The 21,102-nt window shown below is 42.5% G+C and overlaps 1 protein-coding gene across 10 annotated transcripts in view, besides 3 other annotated features; it reads left to right on the top strand.

The window, feature by feature from the left end:
- LARP4B (La ribonucleoprotein 4B) overlaps positions 1-21,102 on the top strand; it is a 181,428-nt gene that overhangs the window by 56,998 nt on the left and 103,328 nt on the right. For 3 of the 10 annotated variants that reach the window (XM_047424896.1, XM_047424892.1, XM_047424899.1), the window contains exon 1: positions 2,680-19,665. The exons of the other annotated variants lie outside the window; for them this stretch is intronic. The gene's annotated coding sequence lies outside the window, so the exon portion shown is untranslated. Of the gene's footprint in view, positions 1-2,679; positions 19,666-21,102 lie in introns of those variants that run through there. 10 annotated transcript variants of the gene reach the window in all.
- Positions 9-118: a silencer, noted in NCBI's record as "silent region_2061". NCBI's record gives its function as "represses an Ori minimal core promoter by ATAC-STARR-seq in GM12878 lymphoblastoid cells {active_cell/tissue: GM12878}" and the evidence as "EXISTENCE:reporter gene assay evidence [ECO:0000049][PMID:35858748]".
- Positions 149-228: a silencer, noted in NCBI's record as "silent region_2060". NCBI's record gives its function as "represses an Ori minimal core promoter by ATAC-STARR-seq in GM12878 lymphoblastoid cells {active_cell/tissue: GM12878}" and the evidence as "EXISTENCE:reporter gene assay evidence [ECO:0000049][PMID:35858748]".
- Positions 319-448: a silencer, noted in NCBI's record as "silent region_2059". NCBI's record gives its function as "represses an Ori minimal core promoter by ATAC-STARR-seq in GM12878 lymphoblastoid cells {active_cell/tissue: GM12878}" and the evidence as "EXISTENCE:reporter gene assay evidence [ECO:0000049][PMID:35858748]".

Genomic DNA, 21,102 nt, shown 5'->3' with positions numbered 1-21,102 from the left:
TCCCGGAGGACGCGGCCGCGGCGGGCAGGGCCGGGCCTGGGCCGGGGCCGGGGCCGGGGCAGGGGAAGGCCGGGGCCGGGTTGAGGAGGACCGGGGCTAGGGCACGGGAAGGGCCAGGGCTGAGGAGGACCGGGGTCAGGGCCAGGAAAAAGCCGGGGCTGAGGAGGACCGGGGCCGGGGCAGGGGAAAACTGGGGCTGAGGATGGCCGAGGCCGGGGCAGGGGAAGGCCGGGGCCGGGGCTTAGGAGGACCCGTTGAGGCGAGGCGGGAGTCGACGGAGCTGGGTGCCCGGAAGACCGGGCCGGGGTCAGGGTCGGGAGGCCGGGGTTGGGCGAAGGCCGGCGAGGACGGGGGTCGGGCAGGGCCTGGGCGGGGCCGGGGTCGCGGGCCGCGAGCGCCCCCAGGCCGGGCGGGCGCCGGCACCCGCAGTGCGGCGCCAGCCTTGCCACTCGCTCCTCGGTCCCGCCGGAGCCCGGATAGGCGGCCGTGCGGGTGCGGGGCGGGACGGGTCATCAGGGCATCGCATTCCTTTAGAACCAGGAAGTTGGGATCCTGTTGCTCGGTGTGTGTTTGGAACGCTCCTGTTTTCCTGTTGATAGACTTGAGCAGAGGTGGATCTGAAGGAGTTAAAAAAATAAAGTCAGATGTGAAGATTGCCTGTGTTGGTCTTGGGGCTGGGATACATGGGCGGCAGAGAAGCCATCGGAAAGCTGCTGCACCTGCCTCTCAGGGTGCGCTTGGGAACGTGAAGAGTCTTTCCGTTTCAGTGCCGTTGTGCGTCGAAACTTCATGCGAATGTAATTTTGCTTTTCCCCTTATTTTTACGTAAAACGTTCTTAAAACTTGGCTGAGATGAAACTTGAGAAACCTAGCTGTAGAAAACTACCTCCTATCTGGCTTTCGTTTGAGATTCTCTAAGTGGATGCCCAATAACTTGTCTTAATAGTAAATTGGAAGTTTGAAGTTTTGGATAACTGAGAAAACAGGAAGGTTTTCCTTGACAGGGCAGTGGAGTTTGTAAGTATAAACAGTATGCGTGAGGCCTTTTTCTAGAGATGAGAGCAACTCCAAGGTGAACATTGAAGGGGACAGACAAGTTATTTTCCCTTTCGAAAGTTTTTTTCTCTTAGTTTCAGTTGTTTGAATATTTAAATGCACTTGAAATAGGTGCTGAGTTGTAGTTTGTGAAGACCACAGTGGGGAAGAGTGGTGTCCTCTTTTTTCTTGGTGGTCAGGTGGTGTGTGCAGTGTGCAATTTCCATACTTCCCCAACCTGCCTGGCGCCCCTCATTACAGTCAGGGTAATTTACAGAAGTTGAAATCGTTGTGGCTTTTCAGTTTTTTCTCCTTGTATTTAATATGCTGAAAGGCAGTTTTGTAATCAAACCATATAAGAAATAGCTTAATTGAGGTTTGCTAAGTGAAATGCGTTCCGAAAGGCATCAGATTAACAAGCTTATTATTTAATCATAAATTTAATTTGTGTACTTATCTTTGAAACTTGCATTGGTTAGAAATAAATTTTATCCGGTATTTTGAAAAGTTAATGTGAGTTGAGTTGACTTATTTATATGAAACAAAGGCATGGCTTATTCATTAGAAGTTACCCTCGTGTTGCCTACATTTTCTCAATTGTAACAGGGGGATGATGATAATCTCATTTTCTTAGGACTGTTGTAACACAAACATGGAAATGTTGTCTGGTTTTGCTATTTTCACTATTACTGATTTTTTTCTTCCCCCCCCGAGTTGGAGTCTTGTTCTGTCACCCAGGATGGAGTGCAGTGACACGATCTCAACTCACTACAACCTCCACCTCCTAGGTCTTCAAGTTATTCTCCTGCCTCAGCCCCCCGAGTAGCTGGGATTTACAGGCACATGCCACCACACCTGGCTAATTTTTGTATTTTTAGTAGAGACGGGGTTTCAGCATGTTGCCCAGGCTGGTCTCGAACTCCTGGCCTCAAGTGATCCACCTGCCTTGGCCTCTCAAAGTGTTGGGATTACAGGAGTGAGCCACTGCGCCCAGCTTACTGAATTTTTAAAATATTCTACCTTGTAGCTGTCAATCTATTAGCAGAAAGTTTTGTTTTTGTTTTTGTTTTTTTGTTTTGTTTTTTTTGGCTTGTTTACACATGTATCTGGGCAGAGAAAACAGCTTCTGAGCACAGAATGCATATTTGGAGAAAGCAGTTCCACTCTTTTTGAGTAGGAACCAGACAGAAAAAAAGATAACATGGGTACTATTCTGTAGAAGAGTAGCTGAAATTAAGTGGCAGCAAATTCAGGGAGAAATGTAATTTGGTTTAATGTTCGGGAAGATTGCCATTTTTAAAAGTGAGATTTAAAGAATTTATTGAATTTAATGCAATTTCCATAAGTAAGCACAAGTTTTGACAAGTATATATTTAAGGTGTTTTTATGAAGCAGTCTTCACATTATCTTAAAATGTAGTTCTAAAATACGTGCAGGCTGGGTGAGGTGGCTCATTCCTGTAATCCCAGCACTTTGGGAGGCCTAGGTGAGTTTAGGAGCCCAGGAGTTCACCAGCCTGGGCAACATAGAGAGACCTCATCTCTACCAAAAAATCAAAAAATTAGCCAGGCATGGTGGCTCACACCTGTAGTCCAGCTGTTGGAGAAGCTGAAGTGGGAAGATCGCTTGAGCTTGGGAGGTTGAGGCTGCAGTGAGCCATGATCCTGCCACTGCACTCCATCCTGGACAACAGTGAGACCTTGTCTCCCCCCACCCCCAAAACATGCAAATTGGGACATCAAATTGTTAATGGTGTTTACAATGAACAGTGCCTTCAGGTAGCTGCAGCTACTCTACATAGATTTGCAAGTTTTTGTAGTGATAGGCTATGGTAGATGTTACCAGCCAAGGAGTGGCTGACAAACTCCTTTCACTGTTATTTCATTGTCATGTTAAAATTCATATTTTCCGTCAAAATAGTGATAGCTAGGATTATAATCTAGGTCTTCTAATCTTAGTAACGTGTTGTCTATGTTAGGGCCTCTCAAAGTTGTAAAAAAGCTGTATAGATGTGTTACCATCAATCGATTTCATTTGTTTTTATCCTAGTGTTAAAGGTACAAGTTTTTTTTTTTTTTTCTTTCCTGAGGCGGACTTTCACTCTTGTCGCCCAAGCTGGAGTGCAATGGTGCGTTCTTGGCTCACTGCATCCTCCGCCTCTCGGGTTCAGGTGATTCTCCTGCCTCAGCCTCCCGAGTAGCTGGGATTACAGGTGCCCTCCACCACACCTGGCTAATTTTTTTTTTTTTTGTATTTTTAGTAGAGTTGGGATTTCACCATGTTGGCCAGGCTGGTCTTGAACTCCTGACCGCAGGTGATTCGCCCGCCTCGGCCTCCCAAAGTGCTGGGATTGCAGGCGTGAGCCACGGCGTACCTGGCCAAAGGTACAAGTTTTAAATATGCTTTTATCATGCATACAGTACTCTTATAGATTCTGTCAGATTTAGGGATATTCTTTTCAGATTGATAAATTGCACAAAAATCTTGGAGTATATTCTTGTAATTTCTTCTACAAAATTCTCAAAACAACCTTTTTCCAATGGGGAGAAGACATGAACACTGAAGTCATGTTTTTGGAAAATACCTTGTTAAAAACAGACACTGCTGTAAGGGTTTCCTTGCTTATGCTCTTTTGTAGAACTTTATTGATGTGAAGAGTTCTCCTTTTTCTGTAAAAGCTTATTTTAGAGTACGAAGTAAATGAGGCACTCAGAGAGTTAACCTCATCAGGTCTGAGTTTAGTTCAGTTTAAACTTTTTGCTCTTATGCTGGTTGATATCTTTGTAACTACTCTACTTCTAGAGTTATTTTGATTGGAAAATGAATTCCTTTTTTAGAACATGGAATTGTAAGGTAGAAAACTGCTAGGTTCTCAAAAGAAGGGAGATAAATTCCAACTTGAAAGTTTTTTCCCCTAACGTTCTAATGCTTTGTTTTTCCTGTGTGTAAATGCCTTCCTTAGGAACAAGGAAAATTATTAACTCAGCTGTGTTTCCTTCCCTTCTCTTTCTCACTGCCCCCCCGCCACCCCATACCTTAATACCTTTTGTCCCTTCAATGCCTTTATAAACTCTGTCTTCTCATAGTTTTTCTGGTGAAGCTGTCATGGCTCCTATTTCAACCATAAAGGATTTGCAGTTCAGTGATGCTACTGGTTTTACATCTTCTTTCCCATCAACCCCATTGCCCTGGTTAGGAGACCTAGACCATGGAGTACATTGCAATATTGAAAGTATTTCATGTTTAACACAATTTTTTTTTTTTTTTTTGAGACCGAGTCTCGTTCTGTTGCCCAGGCTGGAGCGCACTGGCACGATCACGGCTCACTGCAACCTCTGCCTCCAGGGTTTAAGCGATTCCCCTGCCTCAGCCTCCTGAGTAGCTGGGACTACATACAGGTGCGTGCCACCACGCCCGGCTAATTTTTGTACTTTAGTACAAATTGGGTTTCACTGTGTTGGCCAGGCTGGTCTTGAACTTCTGACCTCAAGTGACCCATCTGCCTTGGCCTCCCAGAGTGCTGGGATTACAGGCGTGAGCCACTGCGCCCGGCCATGTTTAACACAAATTTGAAAGCGTACTGCTTAGTTTTTTAGGGGGAGTATGATAATCATAGAGATGAGACTTGATCTTTGCTGAAAGTGTTCTTTATGAAGTCTGATGTGCATAAATTTGCCCAATAAAATGCTCTTTTATTTACACAAATCATTTTAGTCGCACTGTAGCCAGAGTGTGGCATAGCCTGATGGCTGGCCTCTTTTCAGAAACTCATCAGGACTGCCCTAGGCCTCGCCCTGTGTGTGCTTCCACTTCTGTGTCTTCCTTCTTGCCCTGCCCCACCTTTTAATCAGGACCACGCCTCCCTCTCCTACCTTGGTGTTGCAAACGTTGTAGCCATTGCTGTTGGTAGATTCTTTGACTGAAATTGAATGTCCACCTCCTTTAAAAAAATTTTTAAAATATTTACTTAGCTCCTTAAACCATCCTTAAAAAGATATTTTAGGAGTCCTCCAGACTGCTTTGCATTAACTTCTGAGATTATGCTTCTCTGTTTCTGTAGCAACTAAGTGTACCTTTGTGTTACTTAGCACATAATTAATGTAAGCTCCTTGTGAGTGAGATTCTCTTTTTATGCTTGTCACCTCTGCCCAGCCCAGGGACTGGTAAACTGTAGATGTTTAGTGAAAGTAATTCAAGTAAAGAGATAAGAATGCTCAAAGACATCTCCCACCTGTGTTCCAGAGAAATTGTTTGCTGATTGTATACTTGCACATTTCTGTAAACAAATAGGAAAATCTTTACTCAAAAAGCATACATTAGAAAGTTTCTTATAGAGTATAAAAGTTATATTTACAAGTTTTTAACTGACTTTTCATAGCTACATTTAGCGCATAAAGTATTTTCAGATAGAGTAATTTAGCCACATGACCTTTAAATTATACTGTTTCTCAGTCTTTAAAAACGTGCCCTCTTTCGGCCAGGCACTTTGATTCACGCCTGTAATCCCAGCACTCTGGGAGGCCGAGGCGGGTGGATCACCTGAGGTTAGGAGTTCGAGACCAGCCTGGCCAACATGGTGAAAACCTGTCTGTACTAAAAATACAAAAATTAGCCAGGCGTGGTGGTGCGTGCTCGTAATCCCAGCTACTTGGGAGGCTGAGGCGGGAGAATTGCTTAAACCCGGGAGGCAGAGGTTGCAGTGATCTGAGATCACACCACTGCACTCCAGCCTGGGCGACAGAGTGAGGCTCTGTCTGAAAAAAAATGAAATAAAATAAAATAAATGCCCCCTTTTAGATAGCCATAGAATTTCTTACCTTTATTTTGCTTTAAAATAAAAACATCATGTTAACCCAAAATGAAACAATTGCAATATTGAAAATGTATCTTTTAAACTTTAGTGGATGTTTTTCCATTTTTTATTTTCTGTTAAGTATTGCTAAAGGGCCTGGCATAAAGGAGGGCCACTGAGATTACGGTAAGAAAAGGGTTCATTTTCTTCCTGTGGCAGGTGTTCTGACCAGTTGAACACTAGGGATGCAAAGATGAAAGGCAACAGGATTTTTCTGTAAGGCCCGTCATCCAGCAGGAATAGGAAAGTGCATTGTTCTATGTAAAGCCATAGAGACTGGCCTCTGGAAGTGGCTGGCTCTCAGCTGCATGCTTCTTTGGATAGTCTGCTACAACAGTCACATATATTATGGTGTATCCTGCCCTGCACTCTCCTTGTCTCCCCTTCTTGCTGTACTTTTTTCATAGTATTTATGACACTATAACATACCATATAATTTACTTACTAATTTATGTATGGCCCGTCTTCTCATACTTGAATGTAAACTCTTATGAGATCAAGATTTATATTTTGCTCCTCAGTATGAACCTAAGCCTTAGAACAATATCTGGTAGGTAGCATGCGCTAAATAGTTGATGAGTAGATCCCAGTATGGTGAACAAGAGGGATAGATTGCCATCTCTTGGAGTTTGGTGTCCATTGAGACAGGTGGACAATCACATAATCCAATAAGAAAGTGCAGTGCACTGACATCCGGCCTGGATGGGAGGGATCAGAAGGCTTCCCTGAGGTTGTGATGGTGGCACCGAGGTTGGAGGGATGGTGGTGGAGTGAGAGGTCAGCAGAGAGAATTACCTGTGTAGTGCCCCAAGTGGGAAAGGTGCAGAGTGCTTTGAAGGAACTAGTGTGAACAAGGCTGAAGGAAGAGAACGCGGCTGGGAGGTAGGTGGAGAGTTTTATTTTACAGAGCTTGGGAGGTCCCATATAGGTTGATTATTTTGCCCTTTATCCTAAGACCAGTGGGAAGCAGTTGGAGGATTTTATGTCATAGAATTGTCTTTTTTAAATGATTCTGCTTTGCAGAGTCGTGTGGAAGCAGGGAGTGGTCACATGTGGGTGTTACTGGGCGGCAAGGTAGGGAATCTCTTTCTTCTTGTGTACACCTCTCTTCATAGTTGAAAAGGCCAAGCCCCAGTCTAAATGAGACCAGCCAGCTTCCTTAAAATCCCTTTAATTTGTATTACATATAATCGTGTATGTTTAAAAAATATTTTATTTTTTTGAGACAGTTTGTGTCACCCAGGCTGGAGTCCAGTGGCATGCTCACAGCTCTCTGCAGCCTCGACCTGGGCTTGAGCGATCTTGCCACCTTAGCCTCCCGAGTAGCTGGGACCCATGGGTGCATGCCACCACACCTGGCTAATTAAAAAAAAAATTTTTTTTTGTAGAGGTGGCGGGTCTCACTATGTTGCCCAGTCTGGTCTCGAATTCCTGGGTTCAAGCAGTCCCAGAGTGTTGGGATTACAGATGTGAGCCATTGCACCTGGCCTAAAAATGCTTTAAAATTTGTTTATAAAATATGTCTTAAATTTGCTAATATTTGCCAGTTGTTTAAAGTATATTTGTTATTTCAGATAATTTCAAACATGCCTTTTTTAGGAGTGTCTCTGAAAAATGAGAACATTTTGTTTTCACATTTCAGAGAGCTTTGTTTTTATTGTCAGTGCTCAAAATACAGAGATGAAAACCTAGTGATCAATTTGGTATAGATGTACAAATTGCTTCAGTTATTGTTATCTGTTAACATGTTGAACATTCTCTTTTTAAAAATATCAGGTCCTTTAAAATTTTCTTTAAAGGTGGCTTCATGCTTTTCTGAGCATTCTTTTTATCTTTGTTGATTACATATTTGTATTTCATTGTTGAGATTATCGTCTGTGTAATTTTTGCCTTATCAGTCAGAGAATACCAGTAACCTTTAGGAGGCATGTACAGATTTTTTTTTTTTTTTTTACTGGGTCCATAAAGGGGGAAAGTTTGGTCAGGTTGGGGAGCAGTCACACTTCTTCCTGAGAGGTAGTAAATACCAGGCTCTCCATCTGGAGGAGGGGTCAGTAAATCACGTTTGCAAAGGAAAAGATGCGGTAATTGGTAGGATTCAGACCTGTGCCGGGAAACCCCAATGGATTTCTAGTTCATTGCTTTAACCATTCAGTCCTGACTTTAAAAGTAGACTTGAAGTCCCTATGGGAAGCTACCTTCTAAAAATCTAGACATTTGAAAGGATGAAAGCATTGTCTCTTGTGCTTTTAGGAGGTTAAAAACATTTAAACCACGGATAGAACACTGGCATTTAGTGTTTCTTGAGTACTGTAAATACAGTAGCTTACTGTGAAAGTCTTTTTGGGTGGACTTCTGTCTGGCATGATTTGTTTTTTTTTTTGAGGTGGAGTCTCACCTGTTTCCCAGGCTGGAGTGCAGTGGCACAGTCTCCGCTCACTGGAAGTTCTGCCTCCCAGGTTCACGCCATTCTCCTGCCTCAGCCTCCCAAGTAACTGGGACTGCAGGCGTGTGCCACCACGCCCAGCTGATTTCTTTGTATTTTTAGTAGAGACGGGGTTTCACCATGTTAGCCAGGATGGACTCAATCTCCTGACCTCAAGCAATCTGCCTGCCTTGGCCTCCCAAAGTGTTGGGATTACAGGCGTGAGCCACTGTGCCCGGCCTGCGTAGCATGATTTTAAGTTCTATGTTCCATATTCCTCTGTGGTTAATATCCATACCTCCAGTGATACTTGTTATTTATTTATTTATTTATTTATTTATTTATTTATTTATTTAACAGACGGGGTCTCGTTCTGTTGCCCAGGCTGCAGGAGTGGAGTGTAGTGGTGTGGCCACTGCTCACTGCAGCCTCCAATTTCTGAGCTCCAGTGATCCTCCTGGCTATTTAAATAATAATTTTTTGAGACATGAGGTCTTGCCATGTCACCCAGGCTGGCCTCAGTCTCCTGGCCTCAAGTGATCCTCCAGCCTCAGCCTCCCAGGTTGCTGGGAATATGAGTGTGAGCCCCTGTGCCTTGCTCCATTGACAGTTGTTACCAGGCTAAATTGCTAGTTCAGGTTGCCTTTCAGTGGGTCACTTGGAGCAGGGGTCCCTAACTCCCAGGTTGTCCGACCCGTACCCATCATGGCCTGGTAGGAACTGCGCTGCACAGCAGGAGGTGAGCAGCAGGGTGAGTGAGCATTACTGCCTGAGCTCCACCTCCTCTCAGATGAGCAGTTGCGCTAGATTCTCATAAGAGCTCAAATCCTACTGTGCACTGCACATGCAAGGGATCTAGGTCGCATGCTCCTTATGAGAATCTAGTGCCTGATGATCTGAGGTGGAACAGTTTCATCCTGAAAGCATCCTCCTCACCACCCCCCACCCCCTGACCCCTCCGCTCTGTCTGTGGAAAAATTGTCTTGCATGAAACCTGTCAGTCCCTGGTGCCAAAAAAGATTGGTTACCGCTGACTTGGAGTACTGACCATTGTGAAAATGAGTAACTGATGAATCAGCAATAGTTGCTTCTTCACGCTGTCAGTGAAGACCAAAGAATGAATATGGGAAGCAGTATTACCAGTGTTGCTGCGTGTGCACGTGGCCTTCAGTTTTTCCCTGCTCTTCCCATTTCTTTGTACACACCGATGAATTTAATCTCTTCTGCTGAAATCATTATTCTTTAGGGCTCAGTACAGGAGAGTTAAACCTAAGCATGAAAGGACTGGAAATGGGATGTAGAATTGCCAAATAAACTGTAGAAGCATTGAGGCACTTAAAAATCTCCATGACCTGGAGAAATTCCAGTGAAGAGTAAACTTTTGCAGTGTGCCTTAGGATTCCGAGTGACCACAAGTTTTATTATCTTTCAGGCAAGGCCACACAGATTCTTGGCATACTATTTCCTGTAAGTTCAGAATTTTGGAAGTGTGTTGGTCATTGTGGTAGTCCTCCCCCTCCCCGCGTCCCCCTGCCAACCTTACAGGAAAGAAAGAAGTGGTAGTTTTATTCTGTTATTGAGAATAGGTTTTTCATGAAATCACATGAAGTTACAGCTCAACATAAATAACTGTAGACTAGATGTTTTCCCAAAATCGTTATATGGCCACAAATTGTGTTAGATAATTATATGAGCAAGGCAAATAAATGCTGGATCATTAACTTCCAGTTTTCTTTCTTTCTTTTTCTTTTTTTTTTTGAGATGGAGTTTCACTCTTGTTGCCCAGGCTGGAGTGCAATGGTGCGATCTCGGCTCACTGCAACCTCCACCTCCTGGGTTCAAGCGATTCTCCTGCCCCAGCCTCCTGAGTAGCTGGGATTACAGGCATGCACCACCACGCCTGGCTAGTTTTGTATTTTTAGTAGAGACAGGGTTTCTCCATGTTGGTCAGGCTGCTCTCGAACTCCCCACCTCAGGTGATCCGCCTGCCTTGGCCTCCCAAAGTGCTGGGATTACAGGTGTGAGCCACCATGCCTGACCCTTAACTTCCAGTTTTCAATTTGATGTTGGGAAGTGTGGTTAGGTAAATTTATTGTAAAGCATATATTTACGAAATGTTTAATAATAATAATAGTGAACATAACATTTAATCAGCCTTAACCCAGTTGCATGGAGTGTTTTCTTTTTATCAGTTCCATCGTTATCAGTCTGGAATTAAAAGACTGAAGGAACCTTTAATTCTTTTTAATTCCTTTTTTTTGAGACAGAGTCTCACTTTGTCCCCCAGGCTGAAGTGCAGTGGCTGTATCTTGGCTCACTGCAATCATCACCTCCTGGGTTCAAGTGATTCTCGTGCTTCAACCTCCAGAGTAGCCAGGACTACAGGCACGTCACCATGCCCAGCTTATTTTTATAGTTTTAGTAGAGACAGGGTTTCTCCATATTGGCCAGGCTGGTCTGCAACTCCTGGCCTCAAGTGATCTGCCTGCCTTGGCCTCCCAAAGTGCTGGGATTACAGGCCTGAGCCACTGTGTCTGGCCTGATTAATTCTTAATTCATAAAATGTTAGGTGTGAATTAAATAGTACTTTTGAAGTAAGATGTTTATATTCTAAGACTGTGAGTTTTGTTCTACGTTATTTTGTCAACTGAGATTTGGTAACTAGTTTGTGAAAATAATTGTCAGAAAAACAGTGTAATATTGCAGTTGCAGTCTTAGGATTTTAGATCTCTGAAGACTCAGAAACTGAAGCCCATGAGGTAAAATTAATTAGAGATACAGCTGGCTAGTTGGTGACAGAGCTAGGACTGTAACGAGCCTCCTCTTTAAGTCCAGCATCCCGTTGCACTGTAATTGCAGAGTTTACTGTGGTCGCTGTTAAGGCGCACCCTCCGCTGTGGTATATCAAAAGAAATTGGTGAAAGCATTAATTTTATGTATGTTAGATAATTTAAATAAGTGTTTTAACTTTTTGAGGTAGATTTTTAAAGCAGTTATTAGACTGTGCTTTTTAAAAGATTGAAATATATTTACTCCAGGAAAATTAAGTGTTTTGTCATTTTAGATAATCCATTAACCTTAATCCAAATAGGGAGGTGCTAATTGGTGTTCTGGTTAACACCCTCCGGTTTGTATCGTGTAATCAGACTGCAGCTTACAGTTCATCTTTGAGAAATAGTCTAAGAGAAATTCATGTAAATTAAATGGTTTTCTTCCTAAAGCATTCAGGGAGAGTTGTTCATTTTAACGTCCACGCTGTTAACACAGGAGTCTGTGTGCAGTCTTGGATCCAACTTCAACACCTGTGTTCATACCCGTCACCTTTGTGTAGAGGAACTCACACTAGAGATAATGTGACTTGCTGTGAGCTCTCCTGGCCTTTGGTTTACTGTCCTCAGGCAACTGTGGTGTGTGTCAGGATCTTTCACACTATCTTACACTCTTAAGAAACTACAGCAAATTGCAACAACTCCCACCCTCAACAATGTATTGGACTTGTAATTCAGAGGATTGAAAGCCCCCTCCCTTTTTTCCCCCCATTTATTCTTCAGAACACTTGTTTTACTGTTTGGGAAACTGAGTCTTGGTGACAGTTTGCTTTACATCATCCAATACAGGAAGAACAGAAAATGGGAACTTTATAGCTTCTTGCTTATAAGCCTTTTGCGTGGCAGGAGAGAATTCTACCACTGAACGACCCATGCACCGATGCTTATAAGCCTTTTGCAAGTAATACCCAGCTCTTAGAGAGGGTCAGCGTTCTGTGCAGCACCTTGGATCCAAATAACATGATGTATTTGGGGGCTTAAGTCACACATCATAGTTCAGCATCAGAGATACAGGCCCTGTACTTAATAGTTTAATAACTTAATTATTTAAATATTTAATAGTTGAATAATTACTGTTAAACAAAGTATTAATAGTAATTTTCATTGTGGTTATCTTTTTTTTGAGACGGAGTCTCACTCAGTTGCCCAGGCTGGAGTGCAGTGGCTTGATCTCCGCTCACTGCAAACTCCGCCTCTCGGGTTCACGCCATTCTCCTGCCTCAGCCTCCCTAGTAGCTGGGACTACAGGCGCCCGCCACCACGCCCAGCTAATTTTTTTGTATTTTTTTTTATTAGAGATGGGGTTTCACCGTGTTAGCCAGGATGGTTGCGATCTCCTGACCTCGTGATCCACCCACCTCGGCCTCCCAAAGTGCTGGGATTACAGGCGTGAGCCACCGCACCTGGCCCATTGTGGTTATCTTTGAAGCCAGAGATATCCTATGCTACAAGATTGAGTAAAGTTATCTACATTTCCGAACAGTAATTCAGAATCATTGGAAGTGATAGGAATTTTCAATGGCTGATTCTTATAGTTTGCCTGAAACTTTTTTTTTTTTTTTTTTTTTTTTGAGACAGGGTCTCACTCTGTTGCCAGGCTGGAGTGCAGTGGCGTGATCTTGGCTTATTGTGGTCTTGACCTCCCAGTCTCAAGCGGTCCTCCCTCCTCAGCCTCCCGAGTAGCTGGGACTACAGGCACGTGCCACCACACCTGGTTAATTTTTGTATTTTTTTGTAGAGATGGGTTTTCATCTTGTTGCACAGGCTGGTCTCAAACTCCTGGGCTCAAGCAATCCTCCTGCCTTGGCCTTCAAAAGCACTGGGATTACAGGCATGTGCCATCATCCCCGGCCTGTCTGAAACTCTTTTTGTGATGTTAGTGTTGACCTAAAATGAAGAAGCTGAGTGAAGAGTTTATTTGGGCCAAGCATGATGATTGCAACCCAGGAGCATAGACCAAGTTGCTCAGCGGCAGTTACAAGTGGATTTTTATGATGGGATGATGTATGACGGTGCTGGGAAGGCTCATTCTCAGCCCTCAGTCAAGTCACTGATTTATGTAACTGTCATTGCTTGTTAAATCTTCTGTAGTCTTTGAATTTCATGCTTTTGGTTTTCTTAGAGGTAAAACAATAAAATACATAGTAAAAATCCTATTACATTGGAGATTCAATCCAAATTGTAGGAAAACAATAAAAACTCAAACACAATGGTTAAGGCTGGAATCTAATAACATGGGTACTATAGTTTTCTTATGAAGCATAATTTTTTCTCTCTCCAGTCCCCATTTTTACTGAAGATATAAATCTTAGGAGGACCAGCTTACTTGCAAAATAAGTTTTAGTATTATACTTGGGCTGATTATTTGCATAAAATGCAACAAGAATAATGATTGGCCATATAGGTTCTTTAAGTTGTCTTTGCTGGAACTTTCATAAGGAATTTTGGATTCAACTATAAAGCCTCAAGGCTAGGAAGCCAAGCCAAGGACTATGCTGGTAATACTTACATGAATTGGGTGAATTCCTCTCTTCTTGAGGTCGCAAAATATCTTGAGGTTCCTGGGCTTGTCAGAAAGTAAGATTGTTTTACTTGCTGCACATCAGGAACCTTGTAAAGGAGCCATGTAAACAAGGTACCAGGCTAGTCTTTCCAACAGGCTTTTTATTGGCTCTACATAGTCAACCTCTGTTCTTTAAACCAGTCTGGTCATATCTTAAAATACGCCATTCCAGTCAAGAGTGTCGGTAGAATAACCAGTGTCTTAATTGTGTCCTGTTACAATAAACCGGTTTTTATTGAACTTAAAACGCATATAATTAGACTGTCATAAAATAAGAGTACTCATGAATAGTTTATACATTTTGGAGAAATAAGGTAGAGAGTAAGGTGAATGTTTCAGTCTTGCTCATAAAGTTATGTTTTACCCATTTGCTACAAGCTATAAAAAGCTTGAAAGAAAAAAGCTTCCTCGACTTGGGAAAACAAAACATGAAAAGAATCAGCAATGTTTCAAACAAAAAGTCGTCAAAATCATTTCAGTCATCTGTAATTTCAGTCCCATGTAATTAAGTTTTATTCTGCTTGATATACAGAGTTAGCAATCATCATGAACACAACAGTTTATTAGAGTTCTGAAAGTTTTTACTTACTCCAATGATAATGGTCTTCAAAATTATCAGAAACTTGTATTCAAGAGTACTTACCACCTGGCGCAGTGGCTCATAGCTATAATCTCAGCACTTTAGGAGGCCAAGAAGGGAGGATCGCTTGAGGCCATGAGTTCAAGACCAGCCTGGCCAACATAGCAAGACCCCCATCTCGACAAAAAATAGAAAAATTAGCCAGGTGTGGTGGTGTGTGCTTATAGTTGTAGCTACTTGGGAGGCTGAGGTGGGAGGATCACTTAGGTCCAGGAGTTTGAGGTTGTAGTGAGTTAGAAAGTGCCACTGCACTCTAATCTGCACAACAGAGCAAGACCTTGTCTCTTTATTTATTTGTTTGTTTTGAGACGGAGTTTCACTCTTGTTGCCCAGGCTGGAGTGCAATGGCGTGATCTCGGCTCACTGCAACCTCCACCTCACAGATTCAAGTGATTCTCCTGCCACGGCCTCCCAAGTATCTGGGATTACAGGCATGCGCCACCACGCCTGGCTAGTTTTGTATTTTTAGTAGAGATGGGGTTTCTCCGTGTTGGTCAGGCTGGTCTCGAACTCCTGACCTCAGGTGATCTGCCTGCCTTGGCCTCCCAAAGTGATGGGATTACAGGCATGAGCCATCGCGCCCAGCCAAGACCTTGTCTCTTAAAAAAAAAATTATTTTCCATGAATTCCCTTGAAGAAAAAGCAAATTTTTGACTGTAGCCAAGTGTAAACTACTTTTTGAGAAGAGTCAAAGTAGAACAATAATTGTCTGTGGATGCCAAAAGACTTAGAGTAGCTACAGTTAAAGACACAATTTACAAGGAAATTTGGTTATTTTTGTGGCATACAACAATTTAACATAATAACCATAATTATGTCTGACATATCAAGACATATCAGGATTTCAGAAATCTCATGTAACGTTGGAACACACATTAATACCATGCACACAAATATAACCCAAAGTTAAACACCATTTCTTATTTGACAAAGCTTCACATACAATTTTAACATACCAATTAAGCCTAATAGGTCTCTCTCGGACTTCCAGGGGGTTCCTTTTGGAAAAGACTTAATTTTAGAATTTGAAAGTTGATTTTGGGAAATGTGTCAAATATTGAAAAGGATGTTGTTCAAAACAGAATCACAGGTTGCTGTAAAATAATAGTCATTTAGCCAGATAATTGAAATATTTCAAAAAGCAAAAACCTTTTTTTTTTTTTTTTTTGAGGCGGAGTCTCGCTCTGTCTCCCAGGCTGGAATGCAGTGGCGCCATCTGGGCTCACTGCAACCTCCGCCTCCTGGGTTCACGCCATTCTCCTGCCTCAGCCTCCTGAGTCGCTATTCTCTTGCCTCAGCCTCCTGAGTAGCTGGGACTACAGGCGCCCACCACCACATCCAGCTAATTGTTTGTATTTTTAGTAGAGATGGGGTTTCACCGTGTTAGCCAGGATGGTCTCGATCTCCTGACCTCGTGATCCACCCACCTTGGCCTCCCAAAGTGTTGGGATTACAGGTGTGAGCCACTGCACCCGGCCAAAAAAACAAAAACTTTTTCTCTTTTTTGATACTCAGTTTTCTAAACAATCAAAAGACCTAAAAAGACGACATGAGACCAACAGAATCTTTTTTTTTCCAGCTTATTCAAAAGGTGAGCAAAAGTCTTTTGTTATCCTCATTAATATTATATGAACATCTTGTTCAAAAGAGAAAAATAAATTTTACCTTTGCATCAGTATATTGTCAGTGCTAGAGCCTTTTATTTTTTTTTCCCCTGGAGACAGGGTCTGCTCTGTTGCCTGGGGTGGAGTGTAGTGGTGTAATCATAGCTCGCTGCAGCCTCAAACTCCTGGGCTCAAGTGATCCTCCCACCTCAGCCTCCTGAGTATAAAGCTATTTTAATGAAACTGTCCATCAAATCTCAATCAGCTTGGACCATGCAAGATAAAATTTCCATAAACTTTTTACAACCACTTAAAATTTTTTCTTAAAGAGCAGACCAGTGCTCCAAGAAAAGTCTGCTGTTCTGACACAGGGGCCCAGACTCTGGCCCTGCATTTGTGTACGTTGTATATTAATGTTCAATTTTAGCAAAACTAAATAATTCTCTTCTAATTTAGCAAGCTTGATTACACACAATTTTTTTTTCACAAGATTAATCTTCCACAAATGGTCTACAACTTGCTGAAGCCTTTGGTTTTGACCTATACCTCTTTTTTTTTTTTTTCTTTGCTGGGGGGTGGGCGGTGGGGGCGGGTGGGGCGCTGAGTCTACCTCTGTAGCACAGGCTGGAGTGCAGTGGCATGATCTCGGCTCACTGCAACGTCCGCCTCCCGGGTCTCGGTTCAAGCAATTCTCTTGCCTCAGCCTCTCGAGTGGCTGGGATTACAGGCATGCGCCACCATGCCCAGCTAATTTTTGTGTTTTTAGTAGAGATGGGGTTTCACCATGTTGGTCAGGTTGGTCTTGAACTCCTGACCTCATGATCCACCCACCTTGGCCTCCCAAAGTGCTGGGATTACGGGTGCGAGCCACCACGCCTCACTCGACTTTTTTTTTTTTTTGGCTGAGTCTTCCTCTGTAGCCCAGGCTGGAGTGCAGTGGCGTGATCTCGGCTCACTGCAACCTACCTTTCTTTTTTATATTGGCATTTTACCTTAAGAGAAAAACTTACTTTCCTTTCCCCCTTATCATTTTGACCATACAAAGATCTCTGTGTACAAGGGAAAAACAATTAGTCTCTTTTCAACTTTCCTTACATCTTTTAAAATATGCTCTGTATATAAAATTGTTTCTTATACCTAATAGTTTTAATTACGTATATTAACTACAATTTTAACTCTTAGTAACTCGAATTTCCAGTGAAAAACCCAGGAAGTAATTTTGAACTGTTTTATACCACATGACAACAATTTCTGAATATTTCCTCAATTTTTGTTTATAACCTAAATATATTTTGTTTATAACCTAAATATATTTAACTTTTCTGTACCCTATAAATGAGATAGATATTTTATGATTACCTGTTAATTAACATAACATGGCTTTAAGATTAAATTTTTGAAAAGGGTTTGTGAAACTATGAAAAGTTTGTTTATAAATATCTTATTTACATTCATCTAATTTATTCTTCGTTATTTTTATTTTTTTTTGAGACCCAGCCTTACTGTGTCACCCAGGCTGGAGTGCAGTGGCTTGATCTCAACTCACTGCAACGTCAGCCTCCTGGGTTTAAGTGATACTCCCACCTCAGCGTCCCAAGTAGCTGGGACTACAGGCGTGCGCTGCCATGCTCAGCTAATTTTTGTATTTTTGGTAGAGAGGGGGTTTCACTGTATTGGCCTGGCTGGTCTCGAACTCCTAGTGATGGGATTACAGGCGTGAGCCACTGCACCCGGCCCTAATTTATTCATTCTTAACAGTTATTATGCTTGAATAGTTCATTAAACAAAGTTAGCCATCATCTCAATTTATTTCTTTGTTAATCATTTCTACAGCCTGTGAAACCCTAGAGTTAAATGAATGAGTATTTGCTGATGAGAAGACATAGCTCCTTTCATTAAACCAACAAACTAATCTTTATTTACCAAAGATCTACCCAAGTCATGAACTAAAAGACATTTGAGTTTCTATTTGTCTGATGAAATATTTGATTTAAGCACTTGTGTTTTCTTTAAGCTGGTTAATTAGAGGTGTTTCATATATTTTGGTAGTGAAATATCACATATATATGATACATAAAAGTAAAGACATGCAGATGCACTAACAGAAGCAGATCTTACAGTTTTATAAGATTTTTCATTTGCTAGTGAAAATAATTCCCCCCCTCCTTTAGACTATCAGTCTCTTAATTATCTGTTCCACTCCCCTAAACAATTCAGATTGCTAGACAACCCTAAATTTTCACTTCCAAAGACATGACTCTCAGGTGAAAACTTACATCCCAAAGGCAGAGAACTTAGATCTAAACACTATTATTTGTTGAATCAAAAAGGGATAGTCAGGAATTGCCAGGAAAAGCATCAAGCAAAGGGAAGGTTTGCTCTGTAAACTTTAAGCCAATGTTTTTTTCATTGTAAAAGTTTATAGTGGCTTGAGTGCAGGAAGGGAGATGCCCTTACAGATGTCAGTTTCTTTTATAAAGAGGTTCAGGATAGCTAGCTAAATGTCAGAAAGTCATATTTTGTGTTTTTGTTTTTGATGGGGTCTCACTGCCATTCAGGTTGGAGTGCAGTGACCTCTGCAACCTCTGCCTCCCAGGCTCAAGTGATGCCTCCCGAGTAGCTGGGACCACAGGCGCACGCCACCATGCCCCGCTAATTTTTTTTTTTGAATTTTTTTTTTTTTTTTTTGTCAAGACGAGGTTTCTCCATGTTGCCCAGGCTGGTTTTGACCTCTTGAGCTCAAGGGATCTGCCCGCCTCAGCCTCCCAAAGTGCTGAGATTACAGGTGTGAGCCAATGCGCTCGGCCATAGAACGTCATATATTGGAGAGCAGTCTGGTTAGATAGGTGGTCTTCCAACCTAGATGTTTCTTGGTTAGATTACTGACTTTAATGAGTGGAAAAAGAAAACATTTGCAGTTTCTAGGGCCTAATACTTAAATTTGAAAAGCAGGCACAGATGAAAGGCAGAGCATCTAGATCAAGCCTGTCCTACCCTCGGCCTGGGATGGCTTTGAATGCGGCCCAACACAAATTTGTAAATGTTCTTAAAACAGTATGAAGATTTTTTTTTTTTGCGATTTTTTTTTCTTTTCTTTTCTCTCTCTCTTTTTTAAGCATCTCATCAGCTGTCATTAGTGTTAGTGTATTTTATGTGTGGCCCAAGATCAGTGTGGCCCAGGGAAGCCAAAGATTGGACACCCTTGATCTACATCTTTAAAAATCAAGGATTCCACTTTTATTAATAGACTGAATCTTGGGTCCCCCAAAGGAGGGAAACGCCATAACACCTGCCACGCAGAGCTTCCACAGTGCTTCTCACTGCAAGGACATTCCCTCAAGGTTGGTGAGTGGCCCAGTCAGCCCACTGTGACCAGCCCATCCCATATGGGAATCTTATCACTTGGTGGTGAGCACTCTCCTAACCTCCAAGTGTTCAAACTGCATCTGTCTAAATGTGTAAAGAAACAGTAGCCATCCTGCAGTAACAACTATTCAGTCAGCCACTTCCCAAACTGCAGCTTTCACCAGTGACTTGTCCGCCATTGCACACACAAAAGTCAGGGTCTCTCTCACAGTGTAAAGTAATCCCGAAAGCCCCCGAAAACCACGAAATTGGACAGCGCAATGCAAAAGGGAGCAGAGCTTTAGACCTGAGAGGAAACTACTCACAACTCTTCAGACTCCGTACTGAAAACAGAAGACCCTTCCAGAAGGGGGTGAGTGTTGCCTCTTCCTGTGTTCCGAAGCGGGTCTCAGAGTCATTAGAAGTGTCCTCTAGATTTCTTCATGTATCAAATATGGCAAAAAGAAGGAGTAGAAGTGTGGAAGGAAACAGAACAAGTCTCAGAGGAACCATTTTAGGAAGATCTTAAGCTTTCTGACAGGCAAATTAAGTTTTGTATTTTCCTCCACAAAAATCATACCAACAAGACAGGAAGCAAACAGGGATCAAACACATTTTAAGGTGAGTTTCAGTTGACTGAAAAGAGTTCCCAGAAACAGGATCCAAAAGAGGAAAAAGCAGAAAGGCTTTTTTTTTCCTTCCAAAAAAACAATAGCCAAAGTATCAGCTTTTTATACTTCTGACCGTAGAACTCTGAAAAAGAATGTTTTCAAATCTTATCATCAGATTTCAGCACAAACATAAAGTACGTTTCCCATTTAGTTTCTCTGGTTCTAAAGCCAACTTTTCCCCCAATTAGGTACACAGATTAATTATTTTAGACACTTAAAGGATGCTCATTTTGGCTACTGCTGCTCACAACTGTCCTGTGTTAGGCGGCTCCACTTTCTAAATGTAAGAGAGTGCCCCCTAAGTGCACACACATCCAGCTGATGTTTCCACAAAGACTGCTCAGATTGTAAAGTCCAATTTTGTATAATTTACTAACTTCTGAAAAGTGACAAATGGCTGGGAATGTGTTTAGGGTCTAAGTGTGATGTGACTTGGACTGTCCCTAACTGCCAGGGGACGGGAGTGCTCAAGCAGGGTACGGGGGACCAGACCCTCACACCCATCTGGAGGAGCAAAAGGGCTGTGTGCTTTTCAGTAGGAAACTAACAGGAGTTGGTCACAAATGAAAGGCTAAGCCCAGATTTTCAAATGATAGAAAACAGCTGCAATCTTAAAAGCATGCTCTATAAAACGTAACCACCAGTATCTGCCAGTCCTTTATCCCAAACCTCTGCCATGAGCAGAGGTGGAAAAACCTTGACCCAAAATCCTGGCCCTGAGGCAGAGGCAGAAAGAAGGCAGTTGTCTGCGGAACTCTTCACCCCAGTCTCTTGTCCAAAGACAGCAAAGCCCTCACTCTTAAAGGAAAGAGGGAGTTTGAAAAACAGTCCAAGTAAAATCTAGATGTTCAGCCAAAGAATGGGAGTTCCAATTTCAGGAGACCTCACACAAAACACCACATGAGACCTCTGAAGATGGAGAGTGTCACACTGGTTCCCAGCGCCACTCTCAGAAAAACCAGGTGATTGAGGGGAGACATTCTGAATCCTGCTGTCTTACATCACGTATGTCAGCCTAAAAGGAAGAAGCTGAGGCAAAATTAATATAAGTAGAGAGTTGATTTGGGCCAAGCCTGAGGATTGCAGCCCAGGTGTATGGATTCAGGTTGCTCTGAGTATACACCCCATTAGCAGAAGTT

This window comes from Homo sapiens, chromosome 10, assembly GCF_000001405.40.
Source record: "Homo sapiens chromosome 10, GRCh38.p14 Primary Assembly".
In the NCBI taxonomy this organism is placed as follows: domain Eukaryota; kingdom Metazoa; phylum Chordata; class Mammalia; order Primates; family Hominidae; genus Homo; species Homo sapiens.
The sequence above is the reverse complement of the archived record's forward strand: the minus strand, read 5'-3'. Positions and strand labels throughout refer to the sequence as shown.